At 36.1% G+C, this 19,580-nt stretch overlaps 1 long non-coding RNA gene across 4 annotated transcripts in view, besides 2 other annotated features; it reads left to right on the forward strand.

The window, feature by feature from the left end:
• LOC105374140 (uncharacterized) overlaps positions 1-19,580 on the forward strand; it is a 266,957-nt gene that overhangs the window by 192,944 nt on the left and 54,433 nt on the right. For 2 of the 4 annotated variants that reach the window (XR_007096124.1, XR_924558.4), the window contains one exon: positions 5,164-5,254. The exons of the other annotated variants lie outside the window; for them this stretch is intronic. This is a non-coding gene — a long non-coding RNA (uncharacterized LOC105374140). The remainder of the gene's footprint in view (positions 1-5,163; positions 5,255-19,580) is intronic. 4 annotated transcript variants of the gene reach the window in all.
• Positions 18,732-18,811: an enhancer, noted in NCBI's record as "active region_20668". NCBI's record gives its function as "activates an Ori minimal core promoter by ATAC-STARR-seq in GM12878 lymphoblastoid cells {active_cell/tissue: GM12878}" and the evidence as "EXISTENCE:reporter gene assay evidence [ECO:0000049][PMID:35858748]".
• Positions 18,822-18,901: an enhancer, noted in NCBI's record as "active region_20669". NCBI's record gives its function as "activates an Ori minimal core promoter by ATAC-STARR-seq in GM12878 lymphoblastoid cells {active_cell/tissue: GM12878}" and the evidence as "EXISTENCE:reporter gene assay evidence [ECO:0000049][PMID:35858748]".

Consider the following 19,580-nt stretch of genomic DNA (forward strand, 5'->3'; position numbering starts at 1 on the left):
GATGAGAAGGGGCATCTTTCTCTTATTCCGATTCTTAGATGAAAAGCTTTCATTTGAGACTTATTAGGTGTCCTAACATGTGGTCATTCCTGGAGAATGTTCCATGTGCTAATGAAAAGAATGTGTATTCTATAGCTGTTGGGTGAAATATCCTATAAATGCATGTTAGGGCTATTTGGTCTATAGTGCATTTGTCTGCTTAATAATGTCCCATAATCTTTGGTCATTTGTATTCTTTCTTCTTTTCTTTTATTTACCTGCAAAAGATTTATCTTCAACTTCAATTTTTTCTTCTGCTTGGCCTAGTCTGTTGTTGAGTCCCTTGATTGTATTTTTTTTATTTCATTCATTGAATTATTTAGCTCTAAGATTTCTGTTTAGTTTTTTTTTTATGGCAAGTCTTTAATTTCTCATTCAAATTATGAATTGTTTTCCTGATTTCATGGAATTGTTTATCGGTATTCTCTTATATCTCATTGAGTTTCTTTAAGATTATCATCTTAAATTATTTTTCTGGCATTTCATATACTGCTTTATGATTGAGGTCTGTTACTAGAGAATTAGTGTTTTCCTTTGAAGGTGTCATGTTTCCTTGATTTTTCATGTTAAGGGTGTCCTACATTAATTTCTATGCATCTGTTGGAAAAATCCCCTCTTCCAATTTTATGGAGAGAATTTCATAGGGAAAGACTTACTCATCTAAATAGGTCTTGGGGTGTCTATTTGGTGGGATGCATTGGCTTTGCTTCCAGGTGGATGCAGTAGTGTAGTCTATCTCTCTCTCTGTGTATGTGTGTGTGTGTGTTTGTGTGTGTGTTTAAATCTGTAATACACATTAGTGGCATTTGAGAGTTTCTCAGTGGAATAGAGTGACAGAGTTTGTGGCAGTAGTGGTATGGCCTTGCTGGGGGTAGGCTCACTGGGTTATTTCTCAGGTCAGCGGCATGTGTGTGCACATGATAGGTTAGCCAACATAGGGTCTGGCTTGTGAGGTTGGGGCCACAGGGCTATTACTGTGGCCTGGAGCATAGGCACATGGTTGTTCAGCTGACCTAAGGGTGTATATATTGTGGGCAGCCCACAGGGCTACTTCTTAGGCTTGGAATGCCAGAATGAGGCTTCTTGGCTGGCTTGGGGGCATATTTGCTGGAAGGGCCAATGGGGCTCTTTTTCAGGCCCAGGATTAAGGTGCAAGACTGCTCATCTGGCCTGGGGGGGTGTGTCTGCCAAGTGTGGCCTACTAAGAAACAGAACTGTTGCTCAGGTCTGGGACATGGGCTCTTTGATGCTTGTCAGTCTTCTGGGCATCCCTGTCAAGGATGGCCTGCAGGGCTGTTTCTTACTCCCTGATTGCAGACACAGAGTTGTTGTGCAGGCCTATGCGTGGGCATATCTGTGGGGGCAGGGGTGCTTGAGGAGTGTTTCTTAGGTCCTGAGTATTGGCATGTAGCCCTTCTGCTGGCCTGGGGGTGTACCACTGCTCAGGTGTCTCTCCCACTTTGGGGAGGGTTTGCAGCGGTGTGATCAGGGTGGGACTGCCAGACTGTTCCTCTGGCTAGAAGTGCATTGGGTGGGTGAGGAGTGGGTCTGGCTTTCCTTCTGTGCAGGACCAGAGTCACAGCTGAAGCTGAGTCCAGGATTCACACAGCTGGGGCTGTGGGATTCAGCCATCCATGTGAGCTTGGTGGAATGGAGATGGAGCCCCAGTGCTGGAGAAGGGCAGTGGCTTTTGACCGCAGAGGAAGGCACACTCCAGAGGTGGCTCTGGTCTCAAGATTGCACTGGGCTGCAGCAACTTTGCTCACTGAGGATAGGTGTGGGGAGTGGATACCTTGTGCTCCTAATCTGGGCCAAAGCAGCTGCACGAGTTTCCAGCAACTCTCCAAACAGGGTTCAGAACTTGTGAAGACTATGGGATTCTCCTGTTGCAAAGACTATAGATGTTTATGGTGGCAATACTGGCTGGTGGGAATCTTCTGTTTACCTTATCCCCTGCAATGGGAAATTCCTCCTGACTCCAGGCAGATGTATCTAGGTCAGCGGATGGGGTTGCAGAAGCCAGAGATCTCCACACTGCCTCCTAGACTTCCAGCCACTACAGGTGTGTCTCCACTCCCCCACTACACTCCAGCACTTTCCCTTCAACACTCTAGTCAAATTTTAGCTGTTTATTAGTTGCTTTGGTCTTTTATTTGTTTGTTGTTGGGGAGGCAAATGCTAGGCAGCTGTAGTCAGCCATCTTGCTGATGTCATTCCTCATCTTCTCATTTTTATTATTATATTTATTTATTGCTTTCAGAGACAGGGTCTTGCTCTGTCATCCAGACTGGAGTGCAGTGACACAATCATCATTCACTGCAACCTCAAACTCCTGGGCTCAAGCCACCCTCCAATCTCTGCCTCCCAAAGTTCAGGGATTACAGATGTGAGCTGCCGTGCCTGGCCGCATTTTTAATAACTCTTGTGACTTCTGAGCACTTGACATATCATGAGTTTTATTCACTTTGTTACATTTCTCAATTTACTTCATGGAAATTGATTTATTTCAGTTTTCTCTATCTTCTGGGATCAATTTCAGTAATTTATGTATTTCTAAAAATATTCTACTTTACTTGAATTTTAAATGTTTGTATACAGAGTTTTGTAAAGTCTTCTACTATACTAATTTTGCCACTCATCTCCAATTTAATCAATTTATTAATTTTTAAATTTATTTTCCACTTGTTTTTCTTAAATTTTGCTTTTCAATTTATTCAATTGAAAGCTGAGCTCATCGATTTTCCTTTTATTTATGAGTGTTATTCCTAAACATTTATGAATTTGTGAAAAAGAATATGTTAAAATTACAGCCATTGTCCTGTAGTGTTCATAATATATTGCTAAATGAGAAAAGCAGGCTTAAGAGTTAAATGTTTAAAGTTATTAATTCTGTTATTTGCCATTAAAATGTCAGTCATTATTGAATATTAGTCTGATATTGCTCGCAATCTTCATGAGATGAACAGTGTACAATTGATATGCATGGGATTCCTTTAGCAATGATGTCAGATACCATCAAGCATGTGTTCCTGATTTGGGGTTATTCTGGGTCTGGGCCATCTCCCTTTAGCCACTCAGAGTTTAAGATCCAGCTCCCGTGTGATCCTAGCTGTGAGGCCTTTCAGAGACACTCCAGGCCCAGAAATTTGGTCCTGCCTTCATGCACATAGACTTTGATATCTATATATGTTTGAGTTCTTACCATATTGCCATTTTTCTTTGTTTATTTTTAATTATTGAAGCACACATTCTCATTGTTGAAGTGAAAAAATATAGAGATGTAAAAGAGAAAGCTGATCAACTGCCATCACCTGCTCGAAATAACCTGTTAATAGCTTGATGTGTATTATAATATACTTTTCTTTGTAATTATATACATTTGTATAAATCCATTAAAAATATAAATTCATATTTGCTTGTTTTTCAAAAATTGTATTGTGAGATATCATTTTGTAATCTGCTTTTCTTACTTAATAATACATCATGAACACCTCTCTGGGTCAAGATATTAAAGTAATCCATTTCTTTAAAATAACATTTTGAAAATTAATTTTTATAAAATATAGATAACAAAATTTACCATATTAATCATTAAGTGTATAGTTTAGTAGTATTAAATGTATTCACATAATTAATAGCCAATAATCTGCAACCAATCTCCAGAACTCTCATCTTACAAAATGGAAACCCTATACCCATTAAACAATAACTTCCCATTCCTACCCCTTATCTCCCAGTCCTTGGTAACCAGCATACTACCTTTTGTCTGTAGAGATTTTGAGTACTCTAAATACCTCATTTAAGTGGCATCATATGGTGTGTGTCTTTTGTGACTGGCTTATTTCACTTAGCATAATGTCCTCAAGGTTCATCTTTGTGGTGGTATGTGCCACAATTTCCTCCCTTTTTAAGGATGAGCATATGTACCACATTTTGTTTACCCACCTTTTGGCTATTGTGTATAATTCTGCTATGAACATGATTGTACAAAAATTTCTTTTAGACCTTACTTTCAGGGTTTTTTTTTTTTTTTTTTTTTTTTTTTGCTATATACTTAGAAGTGTAGTTACTGGATCATGGGCAATTCCAAATTTAATTTTTTAAGAAACTACCATACTGTCTTTCAAAGAAGCTGTGCAATTTTAGATTCCAACAAACAGTGTATGAAGTTTCTAATTCCTCTAGTAACCCTTTCTTTTGGACAAATTCATTATTATTTATCAACGTTGATTTGGTTAATTTCTTTGCATATTTCTTTCTACCAGTAGACTGTGAACTCTTACAGGGCATTTGTGAAGAGATAGTGCTATTCGATTTGGGCCTTGAAAGACAGTTGGGATTTTATCTGGTGGCGGATTGGTTGGAGGGCCTCACTCCTCTCTGCCAGTGCAGCTGACCTTGCACTGATTTCTACTGGCTCTGGAGACTCAGCCACATTCAGATGAGCTTTCCACCTTGTTATACTTCATTTGAGCCTTTTTTTTTTTTTTTTGAGACTGACATCAGACCACAACCAATCTCCCAGTTAAACTTTGAAAAAAAATCATTAAAACTACATTCCCCTCTCTAGAAAAATACACACATGCACTCAGTATTTTACCTTCAGATTTGGAGGTTTTACTGTCCCCTGAATCTCCAGCAGATGCTCCTTCAGTACTTCCTGGATTTAAAACACCTGCTCTAAGGTCTGACTCAGCCCTTTCACTTCGATAAGCAGGAATGAGTCTATTTAAGCTTCATTACTTATCCTTCCCTCATTACACTGCTCTTTCTCTCTCTTTATCTTTGTACTAATCTTGATCTTCCTCATATGTTGCCTCCTTTCTTTTTCACTGCTCATTGTTTATAAATTGCCAAACACACACTTTCATTTCTTCTTACATTGCTAGCATATGGTGCTCATTCTGTCTACTACCTAATAATGCTGAAGACATCCCCAGAAGTAGGTAGAAAACTTATATTACCAATTAAATCCAATAGAGAAGGTACAAGGGTCCAACTGTCTCATAGTGAGTGTCAATAAACTTTTATTTATACAATAGATTATTAAATGTGGCTAGGCAGCCTTGAATACTATTAGATATTTCTTGTTTTTATTTTGAAATTTTCTTTCCCTTGCTCCAGGCTTTAGGGGCTGCTTTCTGGCTTTAAAAATATTGCACTGGAATAGAACCAAGGATCAAATATCTGGGACATGATATCTTGAGTAAAACAGGTATGTTTTTTGTGACCCACTTATGACTAAACTATACTGTCATTGTGATATTGAATTCATTAAAAATAACATTTTCCCCTAAATAATTCATTAATATATTTACATTTTAAAAATCAGGAACAACAGGTATAAACAGTTTTAAAGTCTACACATTTTCAGCAGATTTTTTTTTTTTACAAGAGAAAACACTTTTTAAGTATCTCTGACATCTAGGTATATTTGATTGCCAGTTCACGTGTCAAATATGAAAAATAAGAAAAGAGAGACTTTCCAAAGTAGTGATATGTGACACGGTTAAAAATGTATTTGTGTGCCAATTCTCATGAGTTTTATCATTATCCTTACAATCTCCATTTGTTTCCAATTTATGTTCTAATCTTTTAAAATGCATTTTGTCAACACCTTTACATTTAAGGTTTAAACTCTCTTTAAGGGAGAAGCTAAGTGCAGAGTGCAGTGTACTTAACATTCATTTGCAGTTAACTTTTTGAAATGTTGTTTAATCTTTTTGATGTTTGGGAAACCTCAAGAGATTTTTTTGGTGCAATTTTACCATTTTTTACTTAGAAAATAAAATTGTGTTTTGTGATGGATAAATAAAATAAAACATAAATGATTTACATGATTCTGAGACTTTGGAATTTTGACTGGGTATATTTTCCCATTTTACTTATGACTTTCACAACTATTTTACTTGACAATTTAATGATGCCACAGACAGAGTAGGATAGGCTTATTCTTCAGTACCAAGCAAACATAATTGCAGGGTTTAACATCTGAAATTTATTCATTTCCCCATACAGATGGTAGACCAAATAGTTATTCAGTGCCCCCATCTCAGGTGGTGACTCAGAGGTCTAATCTCTTTGACCGTATGGCTCAGCCATCTCAACAGCTGGTCTCTATGCTTCCTATGAATGAGAAGAAGGTTCACACCTGCTCATTACTATTTGGCCATTCTCTGCTAACAGTGCATCGACCAGAACAAGTCATGTGGTCCTGCCTAAATGCAATAAGGAAAGAAATGTAGAGAACACGTGGAATGAAGTTTGCATTACTATCTCTGCTGCAAAAGCTCACTTTAAATGTGAGACTTAGCGATAGATGAAACTTGGGAGACGTCTCCATCAGTGATGGGTGCACCAAAATCTCACAAATCATCATTATAGAACTTACACATGTAACCAAATACCACCTGTTCCCCGAAATCCTATGGAAATAAAAAATAAACATAGGTGACTGACATATAAATAAAGGGATAAATAACCATCTTGCTCTGAAATTAAAAAACAAAAAAGGATTCTTCCAAAGTATAATTAAAAGGCAAAAAAAAGAGAAGACATGATAACTAATGCAATATGATATTTTGGATAGACTCGTGCAACAGAAAATGGACATTAGACTATGCAACCCTAAAAAGGAATGAAAATAAAAAGGGATAAAAGGAATGAGATCATGTCCTTTGCAGGGATATGGATGAAGCTGGAAGCCATCATCCTTAGCAAACTAACACAGGAACAGAAAACCACACACTACATGTTCTTACTCATAAGTGGCAGTTGAACGTTGAGAACATATAGACACAGAGAGGGGAACAACACACACCAGGTGGACACAGAGAGGGGAACAACACACACCAGGACATGTTGGGGGGTTGGGGGAGAGGGGAGGGAACTTAGAGGATGGGTCAATAGGTGCAGCAAACCATGATGGCCATGTATACCTATGGAATAAACCTGCACATTCTTCACATTCATCCCATTTTTTAGAAGAAATAAAAAAAATCATTAAAAAATCTGCATCTGTTTTCCAGATACTTGCAATTCAAAAAATAAAATTTCACAGAATCTGTGCAAAAAAAAAAGAAAATGGACATTAGATAAAAACTAAGGAATTATGAATAAAGTATGGACTTCAGTTAATAACAATTAAAAAATTATGAAGGTGAGGTTGTGAGTTAGGCCACGTATTCACTCACACTACTACTTGTTTTAAGTAAGCAGACAGTGTGAAGCATGTGCTTCATCATGTCTTTTGTAGTACACTGAGAAGACCTAATAACCTGGTTATAATGCTCTTCTACCTAACCATCATTCTCAAAAGTAATTCTGAGACACTCTTAACTTCAGATCACCATTATATAACAATTATACCATCTTGTTTAATTGTGAATGGTTGCTGCAGAATCACAGAATACAGCATTTGGGAGTAGACTTGGAACATAAGGGGATTTTCCTCCAGAATTAAACTATGCGAGAGCTGTGTGGCAGGTTTTAAGTCCTGCTCTTGAGTCAAAGTAGATATGGAATCTGGATTTTATCTGCAGATTAAATATTTCCTTTCCTACTCATGGCTGGAGCTTTGTTCAGAAATTTGATGATTTAAGACTTCAGATAAGCCAAAGTGAACTGATTTTCAAAACCAAGCTGTGCATCAGTTCTAGTTGGTAGCTGTGGGATTGAAAATGAAAATACAGAACTGAATATTTTAATTACAGATGATAATGCCCAAGGAACAAAATATATTTCATCATTACAACTACAATATACAGAACTTTATCCTTAATTTTTGTCTTTCCCTCATTGGAGATCAATAACAGTTTTCTGACCAGCAACAACCTGTGGGCCAAAATTAGAACAGCACGGAAATGGAGGAAATTATTCAGTGGAAATTATAGAACTGAAAGCTAAAAGGTAACTAGCTGCCTCTGTCACATTCCACAGTTTCATATCTGCAGAAAGTAGAGATAATTAATATTCTGAACTTGAACATGTACTTGCACTTTATTACTTATTTGGTTACAGATCTTTTTGTGTATATACTATTAGGCAGAACATTAGAGAGGAGAGGTTGGTGCCTCCAGACCAAAATATTTATAACAACTTTTGGTAGTAGCTATTATCATACTTATTTCATGAACGAGAAAATATAAGGTTCATAGAGAATAAATTACTTAGCTAAGATTATGCAGATTAAATGGCAACACTGAAATTTCCTTCATGAATGTCTCTGATACTAGTTGTCGTGCTTTACCAAGAATTAAATGATTTAGCTCAAGATTAACTACATGAATTAGTTTCCTGCTGATGTTGTAACAAGTGACCACAAACTGAGCGGTGTAAAATAACAGCAGTGTATTATCTTATAGTTCTAGAGGTCAGAAGGCCAAAACCAGTTTCAGTGAGATAAATTCAAGATGTCAGCAGGGCTTCTTCCATTCTAGAGGCTCTAGGGAAGAATCCATTCCCCTTTCTAGCTTCTGGAGACTCCTTGCATTTCTTGATTGGCAGCCCCATTCTCCATCTTCAAAGCCAGCAGTGTAACATCTTTCAATCTCTCTCTCTCTCACTGTTACCCTCTTGCCTCCATCTTACAGAGACAGTTGTGATTGCATTGGGTTTACCCATCTGAAAGTCTCTAACTTAATCACTTTCTCAAAGTCCTTTTTGCCATGTAAGGTAACACATTCACAGCTTTCAGAGATTAGGATGTGGATATCCTTGGGAGACTATTATACAGCCTACGATACTACAATATTTCCGTTGAAATGTTTATTTCAATAACATATTCTAAATTATTCTATTGTATCTTTTGGGGAAACAGAACATATTTACTTTTTATTTGGGAGTATTAAAACTCTACACAATATTACAAAAAATGAATAGCCCATATTTTTAATAAAAATAGTTAGACTTGGCACATATTTTCTATATCCATACAACAGAAAGAGAGGTGATGTATCTCAAAAGGGACAAAGGAGACAGAACAGAGCCTTATTAGAATAACATACAAGAATTATGATTGATCCAACTTAACAATGTAAATTTTGATTGTCCTGGAAAAGGTTAAACCTGAGGCTCAGCAAGATTGAGTAACTTATGTGTATTCTCTCTTCTACCTACATGGGATGAACATTTATTCCAGCCACATCCATGAAAAATAAATGGGATGTTTGACTTGACAAAGCAGTGTACCATCTGAGGAGGAGAAAAGATGGGATTTCAAATGACAATATAATGGTGTGGGCCCAGTCATTTACTAAGAAATTTAAAAGAAGGGATGTGGCTGTTCTGAGAATCTCTGAGAAATGGATGCAATGGATGCCCTGACGTGAATAATGGCACCATACATTTTGGTGGACTATGCGCTTTTATTTGTAGTTCTGCATGGGATTTTCTTGCCTTCCAACTTTATGGCTCTAACAAGTGGGTTACTACATCATAATCTGGAGCCATAATACCAATTTTCTCTATTATTTTAATTAAAAGGTAACATGAAATATCTACAGGACTGTTGTCATTTGAATTTCAGTGGCATTCTTTGCAATGAAGAATGAATCCCCAATATTCTCTGTTACATTGGAAAACCTTAACACTATCTTGAGACAAGACAAGATAAAGAAGCTGATGTGAAAGCCTTTAGAAAAGGACTGTCAAACTGAACTTTCTAGGAGGCTAGAGATATTCATTAATCTGTATTTCCCATTGCAGTAGTCACTAGCCATAGGTAGTTATTGAGTGTTTGAAATGTGGGTAGTGTGACAGAGGAACTGAATTTTTATAATATACTTAATTTTAATTAAATGTAAATAGTCAACATTTGGCTAGTGCCTATTATATTGGACAGAAAAAATTTAAAAGACACTTTACACAGGATCAAGTCTTTGAGAAGAATGTCTCTGCACAGATGTAAATCAATGTCAAACAAGATCATAGCAACTGGAGCATCAGGCAAGCTGGGAACCTAATACCACCCAAAGATAATCTCAGAGTCACTGGGGCAGCTGAGAGCTAAGGTAACAACACATCTGTACTTCATTATCTGTCTGGGAGACCCACCTCAACACACTTGGAAGCAATAAAATCACTTGTAAAGGTAGGGCTGTTGCAAGACTTGCATGGATCTTAGGCACTTTGGCTTTGTGGACCCCTTTCTCTATACAAAGTATTAAAAATTATATTTTATATTTATGTGTGTATAAAGATGAATATAATTTTGAACATGAAATGTTTCTACATTTCTTCTGATTTTAAAACAAAACATTTTCGTGGACCCCACGATGTTTTGTGGGCTACAGGGACTGCACATGCTCTGCATGGGTAAGTTGGCCTTACATAAAGGATAATTTAGTAACCATGATCCAAGCTAATTGGTTAGTATGTAAATCAAAAGACTTTGATAGATCTAAATTAAAATAAAGGTTTGATTATAATTTACTGGATCATTAATACATTATTTAAATGAAATTCTTACATTTCAGATGTTTCTTTCAATTTTTGATTGCTATATAAATAAAGACTTATGAAAAAGTTCTATTTTAAACATAGAATTTGAGAAAGAAAATTTCAAGCTTACTTTGCATATTATAAGGATAAGTGAGAATTGTCACTTCTGTCTAGAAGAATGGGGTATTTTGATTAGTTGATCAAAGCATGTTGGCCTTGGAGATATAGTCACTAAAAGGCTGAGATTGTTTGTGCCTTTCAGTATGGACTTGGAATCATATAAGAACCTGGGTTTGGGCATTTGCCATATCTGGTGTCAAATCTCCATCCTTGCTTAGTAGACAATATGCCCAGTGGCTGAACATGCATCCTTTAAAATGTCATTACCTGGTCCAGAATCTGGAATTTCTTTTGCTTCCTAGCTGTGTGAACTGGAGGCCAGTTGCTCAGTCTCTCTGAGACTCAGTTCCTTTACATGTAAAATAGGAACAATGGTTGTGAAGATTGTTCTGAAGATTAATGAGAGGATTCATGTAAGTTATTTGTGACATAGTGGGTACTCCATAAATATTAGTAATTATTAGAAATTGACTAAGATTTACATTGAGTAAGATTATTACATTGAATAAGATTTTTTTTTTAATCCTGAGCTTCAGTTTTCGCATCTCTAAATAAGAATCTATTCAATCAACAGATACTTATCTGGCTCCTGGAGCTATACAGCAAAAGACCTGTGGCTATAGCAGAGCGTAGAATTCAGGGAGTTAATAACACCTACCTGCAGAATGTATGTGAAAATTTAATGAGACAATGTATAATTGAAGTACTTGCTTGTTACACTTCCTGGCATACTTTATTCACTAAATAAATGTTAATTTCTTTCCTTTCTCCTTTTTAGTTGGTGGAAAAATCTTACCTCTTTCTTATAAAGTTTAAATATACACTTCAGGAGGCTGGCGTGGGCAGATCACTTGAGGTTAGGAGTTTGAGACCAGCCTGGCTAACACGGGGAAACCTCGTCTCTCCTAAAAATATAAAAATTAGTCAGGTGTGGTGCAGGCACTTGTAATCCCAGCTATTCAGGAGGCTGAGGCAGGAGAATCTCTTGAACCTGAGAGGTGGAGGTTGCAGTGAGCTGAGATCGCACCACTGCCCTCCAGCCTGGGCAACTTTCAATAATATAATAGCTTGGCTAATGGGAAAATCATTTGTTTTCTTATCACTTTAATATAAATGGTATGTGTTGATGGTATGTGATTTATTACAGCAATCACATACATAATGCCAAATTATTTTGAATTAGATTGGTGTTACAAAAAATAAAAATAAATGACAGAAATTCTTATCAAGTATCATAACTATATGTGTGATTATTCCTCGATATTGGGTTTCATTAAGAACCTTTAATGCCCAAGAATAGCTTTTGGCATTTCAGTTATTACAAACCATACAGCTGCTCAATAGCAAATGAAAGACAATCACAGATTGAAAGAGTCTCATCTAGGAGACATTTAAATGAAGAGTCATATTAATAATAAAAAGGGAATGTGCTTTGACTCATTGCTCCTCAACTTCTGCTACCTCTCTTCCACTCTCTGTCCTTTGAGAAAGGCTGAGGGTTGATCCAAGTAGGAATTACCTAATTATGGGGACAAAATTCCTTGTGGCTCAGAATTGCAACAGGGACTGAGCTCATAAAAGACAAATGCTAGGGCCAGAATGTGAGAAAAACATAACTCCAACCAGAGAGATTAGATCCAAATACAGGGGAGCCAGGGTACCCTTAGACAGGTACGTAATGATATGGAAGTACCCAATGTTTATGAGCAATCTGTTCTGATAGGTTGGGGCTCATGCTATATCAGTTGCTAAAAATCTCGAATAGTTACTTAAAATTTATATATTCCTAGGAAACAAATCATGCATTGTGCCAAATATCAAATGGATTTTGGAGGAGGGAAGCAGGACTGAGGTGACAATAGTGTTTAGAACTAACACGTTAAAAATCAGAGAAACCGGAATTGGTAAAATTGAGCTTAGAAGCAAATCAATGAAGGGAATAGACCTTACATTATGGCTTTGAATACCATGTATCATTTGAAATTGGTACTTTGTGGTCACCTTTGGAAAGGGAATGATTAGGTAGGTTGACCTAACCTAAAGTATACATGGCAAAATATTGTTAACATAAGTACTTCTAATTTATACTTAATTGTAAATGTTTCTATGTTTCTGGAATCTGGGGAATTATTTCTTAGATTGTTTCCACCATTAAAAAAATTTCAAACTAATTCTGTACATTTTATATGAAAACAGTACTGTGATTTGTATTGAGGCTTTAGGAAAGGTTGTATTACCATACAGAGGTTTCTTTTATTTCCAACCATGATTGAATTTAATTTATTAAATTGTATAAGCTTTCTGATCTTTTAGTAAATTCCTAAAATGTGCTTAGCTCATGTCAGCATTTTTCCTTGAGAACTTATGCATTTCTAATATCCTGGCACCTCCCAGGAAAGATGAATAGCTCTGTGTGGGATGAGATAATGATAGTAGGTTCAAACTTCAATCACCTTGAAAGGTTCTGGACATCTATTTGCAAACTAATGCTAGTATTTTAAAACACTTAATAATAACAACAACAACAACTGGAAGTATCTTGATGAATTCTAGTTATGCAGTATGCATTGCCGAATGACTCTAACTTCTGGGAGATTCGGGCATTTTTAAGAAATAGAAAAAAAAAGATAAAAGATAAAAACCAAAGTACTAGCCTTTACTACGAGTAATTTGTAAAACATGTGAAACTTGCTGCCTCTAAGTGCGATCCATAAACCTAATACTTATAAAAATAAATATAGTAATATGCTTTAAACTGACATATCCCTTTTATAAACCTGAATCACTAATGGTTAAAAGAAGTTCCAAATGCATTTCAAAAATAGTGAAAATAGTCTGTAGTAACCACTCTTAGATTTATAGGACAGCTTGTCTAAATCATTTCAAGTTGGTGTGTTTCCAACTATGTTCTTTTATTATCACTTTAGTCTCATTTACGTTTTAGAGACCTACTACTGATGATCCTTGGTAATTATGTACAATTGATGAGAAAGATATGCAAGCAGTCAGTCATTCAGGTCAGAGATATAAAAACCTCACTTCCAAAACATCACTGTGGGCTTCCTCTTTATTTCACCTTTGTGTTTCTTCTGCCTTTCATTTCTTACAGCAGTTAATACCACTGTTGAAACTAGCATTTTAAATATAGATGACCCTGGAATTATGAGAGCACTAGCATGTGCAGTTTATGAATGCCAATGGCACTGCATCCGAGCTGCCTGCCGGCCCCTATTTCTTGTGGATGCCTCAGCAGATCCAGTGCAGGTACTGAGGGGCGGACTGCCAGCAGTAGTGAGTCAGCTGGCTGGGTGTGCGATTGCACTTAGTGCAGGTATGGTTTTTGATACTGCTCTTCACTTCTGTACTTTCTTCAGTTTTTAAAATAAAATTCCTCTACTTCATGTCTTAGAAAAGGAGATATGATGCACTGAATGGCAAATCACACAAAAGTGAAGAAAAAGCTCACTTCAGATACAAAGGCTGGAATAAAGCTGAATGAACTAAATTCCAAGTTAAAATTGTCTCCTTTGGGTCTGAGTATAATTTGTTAGAACAAGGGAAAATGTTTGAAGAAAAAAATGTTAAATCAATTCAATCAATGGTGGCATGAAAAAGCATTGGCTGAATGATGAGGTGGGAACACGTGCAACTCTGTGAATGCCTGCTCAGAGAATACATATGCTGATAAAATTTAAAGTCTAAACCAAACAATGAATTTTAGGAAAGGTGCTTGACACAAAGGAATGAATGGCTTGATTACTTGCAAAAAAGAAATTGTTGGCCTAGCACCAACATTTAAGGGAAAGCTTGAAACATGGCTATAGAAGTAGCCAAGTCATTTTCAGAAAATTTTGTCTGGATAATTAAAAGGGAAGGCAGGTATTTGCAATTTATATTTAAAACTGATGAAACAAGACTTTTAAGAAAGCCAGCACACTAGCAATACTGCATTCCTAAGGAAAGAAGGGCCTACTTCTGGTTACAGAGCAGATATGTAGATTTTTTTTTTTTTTTACAGGAGTTAGCAATGAATGCTTTATTGAAAGCAAGAGCATTGGATTATGAAAAGAGTCTCAAGAGAGATGTCATTTTTGCTCTCTAATGTATCCTAAGTGCCTATACCAGTGCTCAACATGAAGTAGGTGCTCAATAAATACTCACTGAATAAATATTTTAAGAAGTCTCAGCTCGTCTGGTCTATACTAAAAAACAAACAAACAAACATAATGTAGCTTTTGTAGCATGTCAGGTGGCTATTTTGCATGTCTGTAAACTATGTATTTGTTTTTACTTTTGTGCATTAATTTTATAATCATTTTTTGGTATCTCTTGGTTTGTATAAAATGTCTTTTCAGAAATTAAACCTGAGTTCATAATACAGCATCTACAGGAACAAAAATGGAATCAACTTGTGAAAGCTGGACCCATACCTTTCCTTCGGGAATCAATTAAATTTGTCAATAGTTATTTACCTTTTCTCTTTATTCTCCTTCTTTTTTCCCAGGGACTTCCTAATAACCATCTTTGTATTTTACTATTTAAAACAATTTTCCATTCCAGTTTTCTCTATATCATTCAATTTGTTAGCTGAGACTTACTAAACATTCCCTCCCTAACAAAAACACACAGAATGCCCTAATGATATTTAGAATGCAGTAATAGTCCTGAATATGAACTAGCATATCCTGATATACAGAGTGAAATTACATATAACAAAAAACAATGTCACTCTCTCCTAATACCTTTGAAAGTCAAAGATGATACCTTCGACTCTCCAGAGATGTTTCAGTTTTACCTTTTCCTCCTCTTCTCCTCAAACCTCTCTGCTAGTACTGACATTGAAAATACATTTTTAAAGCTACTACTAAAACCTTGCATTTTTGGTTTCATTTAGTTTTATTATTACAACTGCATATGAATCTATTTTAAAACTGGAAAGCTGCAGTAATTCAGCTACCTGGTTAAATGTATTTTGTGCAATAGCCAAGAAACCTAACCATTTGTAGCATTTTCTAAGGGATAAATGAGTTTTGGATCATAGCCTATTTATAAATAGTGGTGCTGCCAGTCCACTAATAAGAATGGGGTTTGTACCAGGAATCACATAGAAAACATTAGGTGGAAAATTATAAACCAGATGACTTTTACTGTGCTGAATTTCATGGATAGAGAGGTCTTTATTGCTCCCTAGCCCTGTCACTGTTATTCTCAGTTAATTTTAATTTTAAAACATTTTGCCCATTTTCTTGATTCCTGAAACTATGGTGTGAAAGTGATATAATTATTTTGAAATGATTACATTTTCTTTAAAATATCAAGATGTTGACACACACAACAGGCTTCTTTCTTTTTCATCTCACTGAAACATGGCAGTCCTAACCTCTCTTGTTTTTCCTTCAATCACTTTCTTGAACAAAAGCAGAAAGGATTAAAGATCCCACTTTTTGCGTGTTCCATGTGTTTATGTGCTTAATGGTAGTCAACCATATAAATGATAACAGAAACTTCCTTTTGAGAGGTCTTTCATCTCTGAAAGCATCTTACTGTACCCATCATGGTTAATTTTCTTATTCGCATTAAGGCATAAACCTAGTGGAACAGCAGCGTCAGAGGACATTTGCACTTAATGACTATGCCGGGAATTCATAGTTCTGGGCTAAATAGTGCCTTCTCCACTTTGATGACTCAGGGTGGTTTGATTTTTAAAGCACTAATAACACTGATGGACAATGGGCAGTAGTTTCACTGTTTTGTTTATTTTCCTAAGGTAGTTCAAAGTGGATTTCACTGGTTTAGTAGTGATTCTTGCTAAGACCTGGAAGGTTTACCTGGCTATAAGGTCACCAGGAGCCAGAAGGTGATGTGGTTGTCAAAAGCAACTGCGTTTTGGAATAGGTTAATAGAGCAAGCACACAAGTAACTGCACTGGGCTCATCAGACTGTTGGATGGTTGGATCAGATGGCAGTCCACAGTAAAATAGGTGTTGGCAAACTGCAACGTCTGCAGAAGGTATTTAGGAATCTGGAATGCATGACACAACGGGAAGCATTTCTTCAGGGAGTTAATTTACTGTCTATAACCCCAAATCCCTGTGAAGTGGGGAGATAAACTGCACTCTTTTAAAAATATGCTTTGCCTGCTGATTTAGTTGCTCTTTAAAACAATCTGAATGTACCACTTGCACATTATACACTGCTGAGAAGGCTTTATAAGAGTTGACATGCTTGCTGGGCACGGTGGCTCACGCCTGTAATCCCAGCACTTTGGGAGGCCAAGATGGGTGGATCACCTGAGGTCAAGAATTTGAGACCAGCCTGACGAACATGGAAACCCTGTCTCTACTAAAACTACAAAATTAGCCAGGCATGGTGGCACATGCCTGTAATCCCAGCTACTCAAGAGGCTGAGGCAGGAGAATTGCTTAAACCTGGGAGGGCGAGGCTGCAGTGAGCTGAGATCGCGCCACTGCACTCCAGCCTGGTCAACAAGAGTGAAACTCCATCTCAAAAAAAAAAAAAAAAAAAAAAACGGCTGACATGCTCAACATTGTGACCTTCTTTACACACAGAAAAGCTCTTATCTGCTAAGTGTTACTTCCAAGCAACATTTTGACACTGCCATAGAAATTTTTCTCAAGGTCTGGAGGAATGGAAAGACCAATGTGGAGGCTTTTTTTGTTTGTTTTTTTTTCAGAAATACTAAACTTTACATGGAAAAGCATATGGAATTCTACTATCTGCATAAACTCCATGAATGCCTACAAGTACTGCTCAAACCAGAAGGTGTAGAGTAAGAGTTCCCACATTGAACAAGAGAGAAACTTTCAATATTTTTCTGTATCATGTTATAATTTATTGTATTTCTTGTGATTGCTATTATTTTTCTGTGATGTATATCAAGTTTCAACATTGCTGCGCTAGGGGAAAAAGTTGTATAATCTTTAGACAATGAAAACAATTTCTTTCAAGTTTTTAAAAAAATCCACTTCAAATCTTTTTTACTTCTTATTTTTATGGAGTTAAAATTTCACCTGACACAGTGATATATGGTGACTTGATATAAAGTACTCATAACATAGTTTCAATTATCCTTAAAAAGTCTATGTTTCTTGAATATTAAGGAGTGTTTTTACAGCATTTTATAAGTCAGAATGGCTTGATTGGACAGTGTAATTCTTGATACTATATTTGGTACATTTCTACTAATACATAGGACCTCATTTCTGATAAAAAAAATTTGAAAAAACAAGCCTAAGAATGTAGACATTACTTTTGGCTATACTTCTAATGAAATGGCATTTTCAGGTTATGGCTTGAATGTTATCTTTTTATAAGCATATTTTTGTTAGTTGGAAAAATATTCAGGCTATTGATGAATTAGCTTCAGAAAGATGAAGTTGGCAAATATTTTTGATAATTCAAAACACTTAGTGGAGCATCAAGTTAACATTTTCATGGCTTATAAAGGAAGCACCAGCAAGTGCAAAGTAAAATTATTTTACCTAATAATAATACAGAATGATATTTCTTTTGATTAAATATTAATCCTTTTTAATTTGATAGTTTAGAACAAGTGGGCAGGGATTTTTGCATTCCTTAGGAACTCAGGCCTGATGAAATAAATTTTCTTGTGCTGAAATGTAATCTAATTCTTTAACACCATATATAGTTGTGCTATATTTCCAAAAAGGCTAATGAAGCCAAACAGAATCCTCATTTTCCCACAATTTTCAGAATGAAATGGGAGAAAATAATATATGCCATAGTTAAAACAGTAAGTATAAAACATGTACCACAATATAAAAATATACCTAACTCAATAGGCTAACATAAAGGAGAAAAATAGCTTATGAATTATATTAAGCCACACATGTGCTAGTTATAAATATTAATATGTAAATATTGAAAGGAAACTTATCTTTGGGAATCCAAACATAATATTTATTTATTGGCATTGGAACACTGAAACAAACTGTAGTAAAGAAATTGGAAAAAACATTTATTCATGTATGTATATACACAGTGACCAATAACGGATCACTAAATTGATTTTTTCTTTGCTGTAGTTTTGGGATCACAGTGGGATAATGGGTTCACAATCAGTAACTGGGGTGTGGCCCTGAGTAATTCACCTAATAGCATTACCTTAGTAAATCCTTGTAGTTCAGGGTCTGATCACTCCAGTGCATCACCAGAAGTTGGTTAGTTACTAAGTGACTCTAGGAGACTAATATTACCAAATTCAAAACGGAAATGATCTGTTCACTAAGTAGCCTAGTCATTAAATTAACATGAGAAATACAATTGTCATAGATACCAGGGGAACTAGTTAGTGTTGCTGTAGAAAGCCACAAAGGAAACCAAATTAAAATCAGAATGTTGCTTGGTGAGCAATGAGTCAAAACAAGATGAACTTGTTGCATGATTGAAATAGCAGAAGTGCCAACTTATAATAATCTAATACATCTGCTGTCATCACTGGGACTTGGCTGCCATGGGAGCTACGTAGTTGAGCTTGACGTATTAATACTACCAACATTTTGCATAGTAGCCAGTTTGTAAACTGGAAGCCACTCTGCTTCCTAGGGTGGTTTTTTCTTTTGGTTTTATTGCATCTCCTATGAACTGATTTTATCAGATTAACTCATAAAATTTTGGAGGGTCTTGCTGATACTCAGGAGCACAGAACAGTGAAAAAGACACTGACACTGGGGTCAGACCACTGTGTGTTTGAATCCTGGTTCTGCAACTTATTATGTCAATTTTTTAATCTCCTCAAGGCCAAATGTTCACATTTATAAAATGGGAATGATAGTATTTATTAGGATTGAATATCATCAGTATCAGCTCAATAAACAGTAAACAGTGTTGTGTAGTGTTCATGAGTATTGGGTTTGGAATCAAACCTGTCGTTGGCCCAATATCTACCACTATTTTTCTTCTCTAAGCCTCATTTTATTTATCTGTAAAATGTAAATAAA

The sequence above is a fragment of the Homo sapiens genome, chromosome 3 (genome assembly GCF_000001405.40).
Source record: "Homo sapiens chromosome 3, GRCh38.p14 Primary Assembly".
NCBI lineage: Eukaryota > Metazoa > Chordata > Mammalia > Primates > Hominidae > Homo > Homo sapiens.